General features: G+C 56.8%; 1 protein-coding gene across 26 annotated transcripts in view; it reads left to right on the top strand.

The window, feature by feature from the left end:
* The window catches only part of PCBP3 (poly(rC) binding protein 3), a 298,726-nt gene extending 289,135 nt beyond the window's left edge, over positions 1 to 9,591 (top strand). For 25 of the 26 annotated variants that reach the window (NR_189734.1, NR_145493.2, NM_001382284.1 and 22 more), the window contains 3 exon segments: positions 2,394 to 2,446; positions 7,171 to 7,340; positions 8,811 to 9,591. Coding sequence is in view for 23 of the 26 variants with exons in the window: in NM_001382284.1 (NP_001369213.1) it covers positions 2,394 to 2,446; positions 7,171 to 7,340; positions 8,811 to 8,847 (260 nt within the window). In the remaining 3 variants the exon portion in view is untranslated. 26 annotated transcript variants of the gene reach the window in all.
* The last annotated feature ends 5,343 nt before the right edge of the window (positions 9,592 to 14,934 follow it).

The following is a 14,934-nucleotide window of genomic DNA, read 5'->3' on the forward strand; positions in this document are numbered from 1 at the left end:
GAGATGGATGGACACCTGGTCCATGCCGTCATGAGATGAATAAACACATCAGCCAAGCTATCCTGAGATGAATGAACACATCAGCCATGCTGTCCTGAGATGAGTGAACACCTGGGCCATGCCGTTCTGAGATGAATGAACACATCGGCCATGCTGTCTTGAGATGAATGAACACATCAGCCATGCCGTTCTGAGATGAATGAACACATCGGCCACGCCGTCTTGAGATGAATGAACACATCGGCCATGCCATCCTGAGATGAATGAACACATTGGCCATGCTGTCTTGAGATGAATGAACACCTGGGCCATGCTGTCTTGAGATGAATGAACACCTGGGCCATGCTGTCCTGAGACGAATGAACACCTGGGCCATGCTGTCTTGAGATGAATGAACACATCAGCCATGCTCTCCTGAGAGGGATGAACACCTGGGCCTTGCCGTCCTGAGATGAATGAACACATTGACCATGCTGTCCTGAGATGATTGTCCTGGTTATGCAGACATTTCTTTATATTATTTGCTTAACTTTAATGCCCTCCTAGGAAGATTTCCCATACTTTCCTCCCTTCAATCAAAATATCCCAAGTTCAACAGGTCTGGCTCACTCCTCTCTATTCATCTAAGGTCTACTTTGTTCAGGAATTTCTGTCTAGGACTCAGGCAGGACCAAGGAAATCTTTTCAGTGACATTTTAAATATCACTGTTTATGGAATGTGTATAGATAACTGAATAACCAAATAAGTGTTGTTTTGAAAGTATCTTTATTAAAAGAATATAAAGAACAGAAACTCTAGGCTTATATATGCAAAGGAAAAATAATGGAGAATTAGAGATGAATTGGTTCATTCAGCACCAGCTGATCCCCTCCTGTGCTGGACGGTCCCACAGGACCACGTCTGCCCTGTGGGGTCACTCCCTGCCAGGGAGACTGGCTGGCCACAGTGAGAGGTGGTGCCAGTACCATAAGACAAGATGAGAGGTGGCATTGTGGACAAACTGCCCCACCCAGGGCCCAGGGAGGGTGTGGCTGGCAGGGACGGGGGGCAGGGCAGAGGTGGTGGGGAGGAACAGGAGCTGTGTGGCTTTAACATGGAGTTGGGGGGCACAGGAGGCGCCGTGAGGAAGTAGGAGCTCATTGGGAGTCTCCAACCATTGGAGGTGCATTTTGGGGACCCCTCTGGTCTGTCTGGAACCTAGGCTGAGGGGCACAGCAGAGGCAGGAACCAGCAAGAGGGAAGCATGGGGGTGGGAGGAGGGCTCCCCAGTCTGGGGTATTCTGAAGGTACATCAGCTGGGCCTGCGATGGTTAGGAGGGGTGGATCCTGGGGTCTCCAGGGCCCAGGCTGAGCTGCAGAATCCGAGTTACAAGAACCACGTGGGGCCTGCAAGGGGAAGAGCAGAGTGTCAGCGTTAGACTTGCAGGTTGGAGCCGCCACTTGTCCAGGAAATGGAAATGCTGAGCACGAAGAGCAGAGCAGCCTCTGGCCCCTCCTGTGCCAGTACTCATGGGGCTTGCAGCTTCCAAGCAAGAGCAAATCATGGACTTGAACTCTGAGAGGTTGTCTTTTATCTGATGGTACTAAGTGGAGATTTGTAAATATAAAAGCTTAGGCTTGATGATCAATTAGACCCATATTGTCACTCTTCAACAAAGAAAGGTATCTATATAGAAATGTGCAGCTTTTCATTGGCCCTAGCACTTCATTTTTGGCTCAGTGATGCCATTAGGTCTCCTTGCTCCAAATTGGAAGAACTGCCTGGTGGGCCTGAGCTGTCTGAGCCAGGCTATGTGCAGGGGCCTCTGGACAGTTACATCAGAATCAGAATGAGAGGCAACTTTGCATGCTCTGCCATCTGCTGTCCCCTGCAGGAGGCCGGGGGGTGTCACAGGGAGGTGGGGCACTGTCGGGTAGAGCCGTGTGGGCCTCAGAACCAGTGGTGTCTCCTGAGAACTAAGGGAAAATGGGCACTCAGCATCAGTGTGACCAGCATGGCCTGTGCCCTGGGTGCTGCACAGAGACCCTGAGACATGCTGGATGGCCCTGCCCTTCAGCCAGGGGCCCACCAGGGTGGCTTTCCAAGGTGTCACAAGAGAGTATACAAACATAACAGGGGAGTGAAGTCACGCTGTGCACAAAATGAAAAAAACAAAATGTCCTGCTTGGGTTTCTCTTTCCTTCTTTTGAGAGAGGTTGGGACTAAGGAAATTGGGTGGCAGTTTGGGACTGAAGCTCACAGGGTCCTGGCCCTCTGGGCTGTGCTGACCCTCACACTTGGGCCAGCTCTACAGCCCTGTCTCACTTGACCCAGGAGAGTGAGGGACAGGCACTGGAGTGTGACTGTTAGCAGCCTTCCACCAGCCTAACCATGTCCCCTTGGTATACCCAGGTCTGGACGCCAGCCCACCGGCCAGCACTCATGAGCTCACCATTCCCAATGATGTGAGTATGCCCGCTGTACCTGCCTGTCCCTGGGTAGAAACACCAGGCACAAGTGGCTGTCAGCTCTGCTGTCCTTTGGGCAGAGGGACCCACTGCTTGGTAATGCCTTCACCACCCCAACCCCACTGTTTGATCTGTGTCCTCCCTCCTTTCCTTTTTAAAGTGGGTTTAATGCCCATAAAAAGTTATGTGTTTTTACATCCCTAAGATGTTGAACAAGCAACAGGCTAAAGGGGACTTCAGATATTAATCAGTAGTCAGATGAGAGTTGGGCTGAGAACCTATGTTGCTGTGGAGGCACTGCCCTGGTGCGGGCCAAACCTTGAAGAACAAGGTGGCCCAGGAATGCTCTAGAGTGGACCCACCTGCAGTATTATCTCCATGGGCCCTGGCCCCTCAGGAGGTTTGGGATTCTCCATGAGTTGGCTCCAACAGACTTGAAGCTGGTTGGATGTCACAGACTTGTCTAGATTCCTTCTAGCACTCGTCAGTCTATTCATGCCTTCAGCATACCTGAGGGTGTGGCCTTACGAGCTCCCCTCAACACACACAGTCCTCCCCAGAGTAAGCACGGGTCTTGAGGATAGAGAGGACTATTCTCTGAATGCTTGACTTATCCAGAAACTGAGAGACCAGGGAGGGCATGGGCCACATGTCCTTAAGGGATAGCTGCCAGAGCAGCAAGCAGAGTCCCTGTGTGGGCTGTGGAGGTGGCTGCCCCACTTACAGCTCAAGTGTCCAGGAGGCTTTTCTGCCCTAGAGCTGTGGACTTTGGGAATCTTCACTGTTCTGCCCCTTTACACCTGCTGGGCAGGAAATCTAAGCCCTGTTCCTTCCTTTCATACAAGTTGACCATAGGAAGCACAGATTTGGCAGTTCAGGGAGATCACCAGTCCTGTGTGTGGAAGATGGACAGTGGAGCAGGAGAAAAAGAGGCAGAAGAGAGCAGGGTCGCCAGAGGAATGGACCATGAGGCTGTCTGGCTGGTGCCACTGACCCGCCTGAAGAGCCATCTTCATTTGAGCCCCTCATGGCAATGTGCACTCTAGGCCTTCTTCTATCCCGGTTGCTGGTCAGGCACAGAGTCCCCATGTCTGCTAAAAGAAGCTCAGGACACTCACACTCCAGGCAGCATTGTGGTCCAGCCTTCTGGCATCCCCAAGGATTTCTGAGGTTGGCCCAACTTGAAAGGCAGCAGCACAGAGCCATCTCCCCAGGTGTGGGGTGGCACAGCCAACTGGTCCCTGCATTCTTGGAGGGAGGGGATTTTTCCCCAACCCTTTCCCTCACTGCAGTGGTTCCTTCAGCATTTGGCTTCTGGCATCCTCCTGAGTCTTTTCCTCCAGGTAGTAAAGCCACCAGGCTTTTCCTGTGGGGTTTTCCTTCTTTGGTGAGTCAGTGCTCACTAACACCAGGTTTGGTGCTCTTATCCAAACACTCATTTAAAATGGAAATGAGCTTTAAGAGAATGAGACATCTTTGGAGAGTTGGTCAACCTGTTTCCTGGGGTCTCCTTTGTACAGATGGATGCTGGTTTTCCCAGCTCTTCATCACTCACTTCCCATCCTCCTCCTGGGGATCTTCCTAGGGAAGAGACCCACTTCTCAGAAGGAAGGCAGCTTCCTCTTATCCCAGTGCCTTTGGGTACAGCCTTCCATGCTTCTTCATGGAAAAGGCTATTGACGACACTGTCAGGGGGCTTTCACCAGCACCCCCAGATTTTGTGGGGGATGTATCTGGGCTGCACCAAAGCTGATGTTCCTCACATGGTGGCTGCCTGCTACCTTCTTGGAGAAAAGGAAAAAATAAAATGGGCGTGCTTGTTCTGAACTTGCCTGTCATCTCGTCCACGTCCGTCTCTTGGTCACAGTTGGATCATGCTGCCTCAGCGTTCCTGCAGAAAGACACTGCTTGGAGGCAGGGACTCCTGAGACTCACAGGCTCCCCAGCACGGCCACTGGGGACACAGGCCAGTCCAGGGGCCCCAGCCCTTTGGTTCCCTTTCTGACGATCACTGTGGGCCTCCCTCACCACCTATTTCAGTCCTTGCTCTTGGTCATGCAGGCACTGGTGCCTGTGGTCACCCCTACTCTGCCCTAAGCAACAGTCACCCACCCACCAAGGCTCATGCCCCTTTCCTTGGTTCTTAGCTGCAGAATCAGCCAGGCCTTCTGCTGGGGAAAGGAATCTAAGGTGTCCGACAGTGGTCTCTAGGAGGAGAGGCTGCAATGGGAGTTGTTACTGCAGTTCCCGTGGAATTTGGCATTGACATCTGATTAGGAGGGGCCACATTATTTCAGAATATTTCTATCGTTCTTCTTTGAATTTGCAATGGAGGCACACAAGGGTGAGGAGAGAGGAGGAGAGGAGTCTGCTAACTGCTGGCAGGGTTTGCAGGTGCAGGTGGGGCCAGGTGGGAGGTGCCCTTGGGCTGCAGGGCTCAGCCTAGAAGGCATCCTCCCCTGCACTGAGCCAGCTGGCCTAGGGCAGGGCAGGTGAAGGAGGTCCGACCTCCCCACATTCCCTTCTCATGGCAGAGAGTGCCAGTATAGAAGTCACAGTGCTGTTCACCTTGGCATTTGTGGTTAGGCGGGCATGCCCTGGCTGCTCAATGATGTCCCATCAGCATTCAGACCCCACAGCTGTGTGCAGAGGAGGGGAAAGGCCTGTGGCAAAGGCAGCACCCTCCAGAGCCTGGGGAGATGGGCACCCTGAGCAGCACATTGCAGGGAGCAGAGGGAGAGGGCGGGGTGAGAGCAGGAGGGGGATGCGTGCCAGAGCACAGCTGGAGCGAGGCAGTTAGAAGACAGGGGCAGATGGTTAAGAGAAGAGGGTAGGCCCTGTTTGCAGGAGGGGCAGGGAGATACTTCCTCCAGCAGGCTCCGAGGAGAGATCCAACAGCACATGTGCACAAGGCTTTCCGTGCTGTGCGCTTCAGCAGACACCACGCGCTCCAGCGCAGAAAGTGTTAGGGAGGAAAGCGGCTGCGTGCTGGCCAAGGAGGGGTATAGGAAGTGGGGCAGTGCGAAAGCCCAGGAGCTGCTCTCCCTCCTGGATGTTGGCATCTTACAGGGACCTGTGGTCATGCTGCCGAGTCAGCTATGTTCCCCCTCCCCATGCGGGCCGTGCTGCTGTCCCTGGCCCCCATCAGAGATGAGCCCTTCAGATCTCTCTGCCACCAGGGAGGAAGATGCAGCCAGGCAGGTGAATGTGGCCATGTGCCAATTAGGAAACCACCCTCCTAACCCCAGTGGCACACTCAACACCACACACAGGTGTGAGCAGGGAGAGGGCTGGACTGCGGGTGGGGCCTTGGGAGATGTGGGTGGGGTCTGGGAGATGTGGGTGGGGTCTGAGAGGTGTGGGGGAGCCCAGAGATGCAGCAGGAGATAGAAGACTCCCAGCAGCCCTGGATTCTCCAGAGTGGGGGTCTCTGTGGATATCTACAAAGACTGAGGGTTCTGTAGTCCAGTGAGACAGCTGTCATTTCCTTGTAACCAGCAGAGATGGCCTCTAAGGTGAGCAGAGTTGAGACACCATAGGTCTCCTCAGGGACAAGGGCTGGCTGGCAGGGCACCTGTGTCCCACCATGGAGCTGCTGCTCACCCCACAGACTGAGCCCCTTCACGCTTGCAAGTGGACGTCCCTCCTGCATGCCGCCACATGGCCCAGCCCAGCCCTTCCATCCAGCGTCTTACTGGTGTAAGGACAGAAACCTGCTCCTGTCACTCAATTTCACCACCGTTCTGACACCCCAGCAGCCTCACGGGAGGTGGGAGTGGACTCTGCCTCAGGGCCCTCGGGGACCCATGTGCCCAGCTGCCCTCCTGGTGCCCTGTGCCGGGCACCCTCCAGTCTGGGGCTTTCTCTGCCACAGGTCTGGCCACGTCTCTTTCCTGTCCAAGCTCCAGAGCTCTCATCCGTGGCCTATGCGTGCATGAAGGGACTCCGTTCCATCCAATGGTGGGCATTGAGAGATGCCATTGGCTCCTGTGCAGTCTTCTCTGGGGGCCCGAGTTGTCCCCGACGCCCCTCATGGCTGCCCCATAGGCCCCGCCCTCCTCCCTCAGCTGCTTCAAGGAGCACCCTCATTCTTGATGACTGCCTTGGCCAGAGGCCACTGTGTTCCATCTTTAAACAGGGGTCCCAACAGGGGAATGAAAGGAGGCACCCGAATGGCCTCAGAGTTTAATCTAAGTTCAGCAAAAGCTAAGTTTTAGGCAGCAGTGAGCTTTGCTGTGGCTTCAAGCACACGTTTCTTCTTGAGCATTTGTGATGCTGCCTGTCTGGGCAGAAGGGGTCTCCCTGGGATGTGGCCAAGAAGGTGCAGACACCGCTGGGCCATGGTGGAGCCTCCCTGCTCAGCTGCTGGCTGCCACCTGTGGGTCGCTCCTGGACCCCGGGGTGACCAGTGTGGAGCACCCAGGCCGAGTGACTGTGCCTCTTGGCTGGGTGGGCCTCCTACAGGAGTGGGTAGCAGGGCGGGTCTGAGAGGGGCCAGCAGAGGCACAGGTGCTCTCAGCCTGACCTCGGGCAGGTGGCCTGGATCAGGCACCACCTGCAGGCAGGTGTGGGCGGGGCCTCTCCGGGGTGTTGAGCTCAGGTCTTGGGGCAGAGTCCAAGGCTGGCGGCCCGTCCCACCGGCCCCCTCGGGCGCACTGCCCACAGTCTTCAGGGGCTGGCTTGGGCTGTTCTCTAAGAAATCCCCCCGTCCTTGTTTCTAGCTAATAGGCTGCATAATTGGACGCCAAGGGACCAAAATCAATGAAATTCGACAGATGTCTGGAGCTCAGATCAAAATCGCCAACGCCACGGAAGGGTCCTCAGAGCGTCAGATCACCATCACGGGGACCCCGGCCAACATCAGCCTTGCCCAGTATCTCATCAACGCCAGGTGAGCATCTCCCAAGGGTCTCTGAGAGACGCCCGGAAAGGGACGCGCCAGCCGGCGTTACATCACCTGGACGGTCGGGGGGTGGGAGGAGGCACAGTCTGGGCCACACTCTGCCTCCCCTTCTGTCCCCTCTGCTCCAGGCTGGATGGTGGGGACAGGATGGGATGGTGACAGCCTCCATGTAGACACGGGGCCACCTCACTCTCCCGACCTCCCACCCGAAGCGTCTCCAGGGACAATCCCGGAGGCTAGAGAGGAAGGCAGGTGCTCCTGTGGCCTCAGACAGGTGGCCAGAACTATCCTGGAAGGCCTGACTCTTGTCCGCTCAGAGGTCTCCAGAAAGACCAATGTTTGGGGACTTTGCTGTTTTGCCTCCTTTTTCATTCTCATGGAAACGTGTAGGGACGGGCAGGACAGGACTCTGCAGGCCGCTTCCTTCCATGGGTCCCTGTGCACATGGGAGGGTCTGAAGCCACCTGGGTCCCTGTGACTGCACCCCACTCGGCCTCAAGCCAGTGCCCCACCCCCGCCAAGCACACCATACCACCAGTCCCCCCGCCAGGCATGCCGTACCACCAGCCCCGCCAGGCACACTGTACCACCAGCCCCCCAGCCAGGCACGCTGTACCACCAGCCCCGCCGGCCTCTGATGTAAGGAACATCCGTCCTCTCTCCCCAAGGATGTCCTACTGCAAGAGCCCTGAGCTGGGCTTGTGGGATGGGACGGGACGGGATGGGACTGGAGGGGAGGAGAAGGGAGGGGCCTCTAGGTGGACACAGCCCTGCGTGGGCCCTGGAACCCCTGTCCCGGTGACCCTTCTCTTACCTGCACGCCCAGTGAGTGGGTGAGAGGCTGCCTGGAGAGGACGAGGACACCCCCCGACTTTACCCACTGATGCCCCGCTGGGCTTCTGCCTCGATCCAGAGCCAGGTTGGGCCTCTTTCCATCCCTGTGCCACAGGCCCATGGGCAGGAGGCTGGGCAAAGTGCAGCATTGGCAAACCCAGGGCGAGCCTGGGGATGGGGCTTGTCAGGGAGGTTCCCGCCTGCCAGACCGCATTACTGACAGCCCCACTGGGACCCGTGCTTGGGGCCAGATGGCTCTTACCCACATACACTTACTCCTGTGGCAACCAAAGCCCCTTCTCAGATGCCAGGTGTGAGGCTGGGAAGGCCCTGAGCACCCCCAGGGGCCGACCCAGGGCTGTGTAGGGGGCTCCACATGGGGAAGGCCTCAAGCCCCCATGCAGGGCTGGCTCACACACCTGACGTGGTGATGGGCATGGCGGGGACCAGGGCGGGGAAGAGGCCTGTGTGCTCTGCTGTGGTCTCCAGCTCAGGACCTCCTGAGCTGACCGGGATGGCCTGTCCCAGCGAGCACAGAGGCCACACAGCCCGGCCTCACGTCTGCCCACTGATGAGGGCGTTGGTTGTGACCGTCTCTCCCTCTCCTGCCTTTGTCTGTTCCAGGCTGACGTCCGAGGTCACCGGGATGGGCACGCTGTAATCCTACCCAGCACCCTTCCCCCGCGTCACCCACCTGCCAGAGCCTAAGGCCCCCGGCTCTCGCACTCTGTACAGCCCACCTTCCCTGCCTCACAGATACCAATAGAGAGGTTTTCTTAATTAACAAAAGGACGTATGCCATGGAGAAACACACCCGCGCACACAGCTGCTCTCTACAGAGGCTGCAGGCTCCGCCGAGTCCCCCCTCAGTGTTATTTTATTTATGACTTACGCTCCCGTCTGCCCATGCACCGGCATGCAGTGGTAATTATTTTAGAAATATTGTTCCTTGGTGTCAGCGTAGCTGTCTGTCTTAGGAGCTGGGTCGGCGTTCCGACAGCACTTCCTGTCCGCCCTTCTCCTCTGCCATCCAGAACCGTCCAGAACTGTTGCCTGAGACCCCTCCTCTCTCACACAGCCCTGCCATGCTGACTCGGTTTCCCCTCAGAGCCATTGTTGTCTGGGCTCGAGTTTCTGCCCCAGGTTGTGTGCTGGAATCGGGGGGTGGCTCTCCTGCCACCCATGGGGAGCGCCAGGAGAGGAGGGTCATGGAGGATGTTGGGGCTCTGACCCCAGGAGTGGGGTGGAGGGCGGAGCCTGCTGGGGGCCCTGCCTTCACAGAGATGCCGCGTGCTGGGAAGGCTCTTGGGGTCCCCTGAGCGTCTTCCAGGGTGGCTGGAGAGCACAGACGCGCCAGGGAGCCCCCTCTGTGCTCCTCAGAGTTCAATAAATGTCGTGGCCCCTCCTCACCGGCTCTGGCTTGTCTCTGCGCCCCCCAATGCACCCAGGCCCCGGCACTTCCTTCCCCTGGGGAGACATTGCCCTGAGCCCAATGCTTATCGAGAAGCCTGGGTTTCTTCTCACACACAGATACCATTTCATTCCCCCTTTCCACAACACACATAAGCACTTCTATTTGTACTTTGGCAAAACTACTTAAAATGACAAACACAGAAACACCATTCCTGCCCGGGCACCAAAATGCCAGTTCCTAATTTGTGAGACTTACTCCCTTATAGCCGTTATGGGTACCAGAGGCCATGCCCGGTGACCCCCAGTGCTTCCACAGGTGGAGCCTATCCGCCTCACACCTGCTTGGGGACAGTCCACGTGGCTCACTTGGCAGCCTGTGCTCACCTTAAGAAGCCTGGCTCTGCCCCTGCTCAATCCTGAAGCCCTGGGTGTGACTCAGGCCCTCCCCTCAGGTGATTAATCCCTAACCCAGGCCCAGGGAATGGGGGGAGCCCCCAGGTGATTTATCAGGAAGGACAAGACCCGGGATGGATGGGGAGCCAGGCACCGGGGAGGGCAGGACTCGGGGGCTCCTGTCCCAGCTCTGCAGGCTCAGGGCACCACCTCCACACCTGGATCCTGGTGTTCACGGGATCTTCTAGAAGGTGGTGGGCCTGGGATGTGTGGACAGACATGGCTCACTGACCCCTCACTGGAGGTGTCTGTCAAGAGTCAGCAGTTCCAGGAGGATGGGAGTCTGGCCAGAACCTGGGGAGCCTCCAGGGGCCCAGGACAGCCTGCCCCAGGCTCCTAGCCAGCCACAAGGCACCCGCTCACAGGAGCCCCTTCCTGCCTGATCAGGCAGAAGCCGGCCTGTTTCCCAGACTCCACCTGGCCTGCCTCAGCCACCTGGCCCGTGTGCCGGCCTGGAGGGCCCCGACTCAGCCTCCTGGACACACTCCTTGCCCACCCTCTGCCCCTGGGAGGAGGCTCACAGGAGTGAGCCCAGTGTGGCACGTGGGCACACATGCTGGCACCTTAGGACTGGGGTTCCCGCCGGTGGGGCCCAGACACCAGGATGCGGAAGACACAGGCCTTCCTCAGCACCCGTGTCAGTGGAGATGGTCAGTCAACAGCGTGGGTACAACTGACAATGACAGACGCCGTGGAAATGAGACACCACGAGAAGAGAGGAATCAAAATGGGATGATCATGGAAGGATCCCTAGAAAGTGCAGGCTGGGCAAGACCTAAGAAGGTAAGCGGTTAGTTGCTCACTCACCTGGAGGAAGAACAGCAGGCAATGGAGCACTCCTGGTGGTGGGGGGCACTGCAGGTAGAGGGAGCACTCTGGGTAGAGGGAGCACTCCAGGTGGGGCAAAAACTCCAGGTGGAGGTGGGGAGCACTCCAGGTGGGGGAGCACTCCAGATGCGGAACACTTCAGGTGGGGGGAGCACTCCAGATGAACACTTCAGGTGGGGGGAGCACTCCAGATGAACACTTCAGGTGGGGGGAGCACTCCAGGTGAGGAACACTTCAGGTGGGGGGAGCACTCCAGGTGAGGAACACTTCAGGTGGGGGGAGCACTCCAGGTGAGGAACACCTCAGGTGCGGGGAGCACTCCAGATGAGGAACACTTCAGGTGGGGGGAGCACCCCAGGTGAGGAACACTTCAGGTGGGGGGAGCACTCCAGGTGAGGAACACTTCAGGTGGGGGGAGCATACTAGATGTGGGGAGCACATCAGGTGCAGGGGCAGCCAGAGCTGGGGTGGAAGGGAGCCCAGAGCAGGTGAGGAGGGGAGACGGGGGAGCTGGAGTAGCAGGGTGGGGGTTGTGCAGAACTCTCAGCCCCTCAGGACTCGGGAGGACAGAGGCACAGCAGAATCCAGAGCCCCAGCTGGGCGTGAGGGGGCCTGAGTGGGGACTCAGAGCCAGGGACCAGGCTCCAAACCAGAGCTGGAGGCATCCTGTGACTCAGGGCAGCTCACAGGGCAGTGCCATGAGCATTGATTGAGCACCTGTGTGGGCCTCACAGGAGGCCCTGGACTCTCCTGTGATGGGAGGCGCGCAAAGTGGCAATTCTCAGTTCTAAGGAATCAAGTGAGCATGAGCCTCACAGCCCTGCAGATCAGCGGTTCCCATCCTGCGCCTTCTTACACCTGCAGCGACCCAGCTCCCAGTGCCCCTTCCCCACAGTGTGAGTCCCAGTTCCACCCACAACCACATGGTCAAGGCCTCGGGCTGAGGAAACGTGCAAGCTTAGAACAAGGGACACTGGGGCACCCCAGCCCCGGTGGGCGCGCATCATGGGCGTGGGAAATGTGGCTGTTAGCTTCTGGAAGCCTATGGCCGAGTCTCCATCTAGCCTGGGCACTGGCACCTGGCCCAGGGCCACAGGGTCACACCCTGTCACTTACAGCGAGTGTCCCCAGGTCGCCAGACATCCCCGCACCTCGGTGTCCCGTGGACACAGCAGGATCTATGCCCCTTGCTTCCTCAAGGACAGTGGGGTGTCTGTGACTGTCAGGAAAGGGGCAGGAATTGGCTGACTCCAGTGGCGTAAGGTAGATGCTCACAGTAATTGGAAAATAATTGGACATTCTCATTAAGCAGCACATGTACCCAGGGCTTTGTCAGAAGGGCGACATCTGAGTCCCTCAGTTGCTGAGACTGGGAAATGAACAGACAACAGAAATGGGTTGCTCACAATTCCGGAGGCAAGGATGTCCGAGATGGAGGCGCTGGGTTCTGTGTCTGGTGAGGGCTGCTCTCTGCTTCCAAGGGTGCCTTGTTACCGTGACCTCGAGCGGAGGAATACTGCGTCCTCTGCATCCTCGCGGAGCAGGCCGGAGGGCTCCCTTCAGCCTCCTGTGGAAGAGCATTGGCCACCTCATCACCTCACAGAAGGCCCACCTCTTACTACTGCTGCGTTGGGGATTACGTTTCAACATGAATTTTCAGTGGCCTGCATGCAAGGCTACACAGGCAATAGCTTGTGACCATGGTGGACAGACCCCACAGAGGCCCAGGGACCCCCACCTCAGCGTTGGAAGACCCCCTCCCTGGGGCTGTGGGAGGGGTCTATGAGTTGCTTCTGACCTGTAGGATGTGGCAAGGGGCCAGGATGTCACTCCCTGGCACTGCGTAAGGCTCCAGCTCCCCTGCTGGCACTGGTGAAGCAAGCAGCCATTTTGGGGCTGCCCTAGAATGGCCGCGGCGACTCTCTGCCTCTGGAGGTGGACTGCAGGCACCTCTCCGAGCGAGCTTGGGAGCCCCAGCTGACAACCAGCCAACACCTGAAGCGCTCACTCCTGCAGCTGCAAGGAAATGAATTCTGCCAACAACCTGGGTGGGCCCAGAAGTGGGTTCTGCCCCAGTCCAGCCTCTGCACGGGAATGTGACCACCGGCTCCCCGATGGCAGCCTGGGAGACCCTGAAGAACAGAAGCCAGCTGAGCTGAGCCGACTCCTGACCCAGGAACCGTGAGTTAATACCTGGGTGCCGCTTCGGCTTCTATGCCTTCGGTCATTTGATACACGGCTGCAAAAGTAAGGCAGTGGCCAGACACGTCACTGGCACTCCCTCCTGCTTCTGCCTTCTGTAAGCTCGTGGGCGGGTTGAGGTCAATGGGTGCTCCTGGGGTGGCAGGCATCCCCAGCAGGCTGGGCCTGTCCCCAGAGGCTCCTTGGCCCGTGTGACCTCGGATCAACACATCCCCCTGGCATGGGGCTGTCCATCTGAGAGCCTGCTTGGCACGAGAAAGTCTCTGGTGTTGAACGCCATTTTCACAGTGAACAATGAGCCGGCATTCGTCCTAGAATAGGCAGTTTGGGTCTTGTGAAAATTTGACCATTTGCAAGTTTTTCCGAACGTTCTGTTTGAGAAGCATTGCACTGTCCATTGTTGACATCTCTGAAAATCTTACTGGGACCATGATTTTGTAAAATCAAGCTGCCTCGCCAACAGCTCCCTGTCACGGGCCACAGGAAAAGACGCTGTCCTTACAAAGTCGAATTCATCCAGGCGGCCCTTGGATGGCACAGCGGAGCTTCTCTTGCTGTTTTAACTGTATCTTCTTTCCGTCCTTTGGTTTCCAGAATCCAAGTCTTCTTTCGTCTCATCATTTTCTTTTCCTTCTTTGCTGTCATTATAATTATCCGTATTTTCTTGGTAACAACTGCCAATCACAAATGATTCTTCTCTGTATTGTTGTGGTCGTGACCCTGGAGCTTCCGGCGTCCAGTGTCGGCAGCAGAGTTTTGCTGTGTTTTGCTCTGTTTTTAACGTTTTTAACGCCCCCTGATTTTGCTTCGTACATTTAGCCTCCAGTCAATTCCTTCCTGCTCATCGAGTCTGAATCATGGCATGAGGAATAATTCTGAAACATAGATGCTACTATATATTATGTGTGTGTGTGTGTAAATCCATATGTAAGAGCAATTCAGATGGGTTTTTTGTTGTTGTTTGTTTGTTTGTTTGTTTGAGATGGAGTTTTGCTCCTGTTGCCCAGGCTGGAGTGCAGTGGCATGACCTCAGTTTGCTGCAACCTCCGCCTCCCGGGTTCAAGCAATTCTCCTGCCTCAGCCTCCTGAGTAGCTGGGATTACAGGTGCCCGCCACCACGGCTGTCTAATTTTTGTATTTTTAGTAGAGACGGGGTTTTACCACGTTGGCAAGGCTGGTCTTGAACTCCTGACCTCGTGATCCACCTGCCTCGGCTTCCCAAAGTGCTGGGATTACAGGCGTGAGCCACCATGCCTGTGCTCAGATGGGGTTTTAAACTCCAACTGCCTAATAGTACTCCAGTTACATACCACTGTATTCACATATGTAGGGATGTGGGGAGGGAGCTTTGTCACTGGAGTATTGATATTTGTCTCTTCATGCCATTTGGCGTGCCGTGCATGAGTGCAGATTTGCCGCCATTTCATCCGGAACTGCCACTGTGTATGAGGACAAGACACAGCAGACGCAGCAGGTGTACCGAGCTGTACTGAGCCCGTGGTCCCAGCAGGGTGTGTCTGCTCCGTGGAGCTGCAGGTGTGGCCCTCCCCACCCACTGCCTGTGTGATGGTGTGCTCAGCACTACCGGCCCATTCCCCGGGGAGAGGGTTCTCCTGTGGCCACAGTGGGAATTCCATTGCTTGCTGACAGAGGCACATGGCTGAGGACTGAGGGAACTTCCCACCAACCGGCTTTCGTGCTGAACCGTTTGAACTTCATTCTCCTCCACGACCCGCATATCCTAAAGCCGGCAAGGCCGCTCTTTGCCTATCTCCTGAACAGAGGTTGGGCTCTGGATGATCCATCTTCCTCCGGAGACTCTTTGTCCAACCCGCTGGCTCGCATTGGGATG

The sequence above is a fragment of the Homo sapiens genome, chromosome 21 (genome assembly GCF_000001405.40).
Source record: "Homo sapiens chromosome 21, GRCh38.p14 Primary Assembly".
Lineage (NCBI taxonomy): Eukaryota > Metazoa > Chordata > Mammalia > Primates > Hominidae > Homo > Homo sapiens.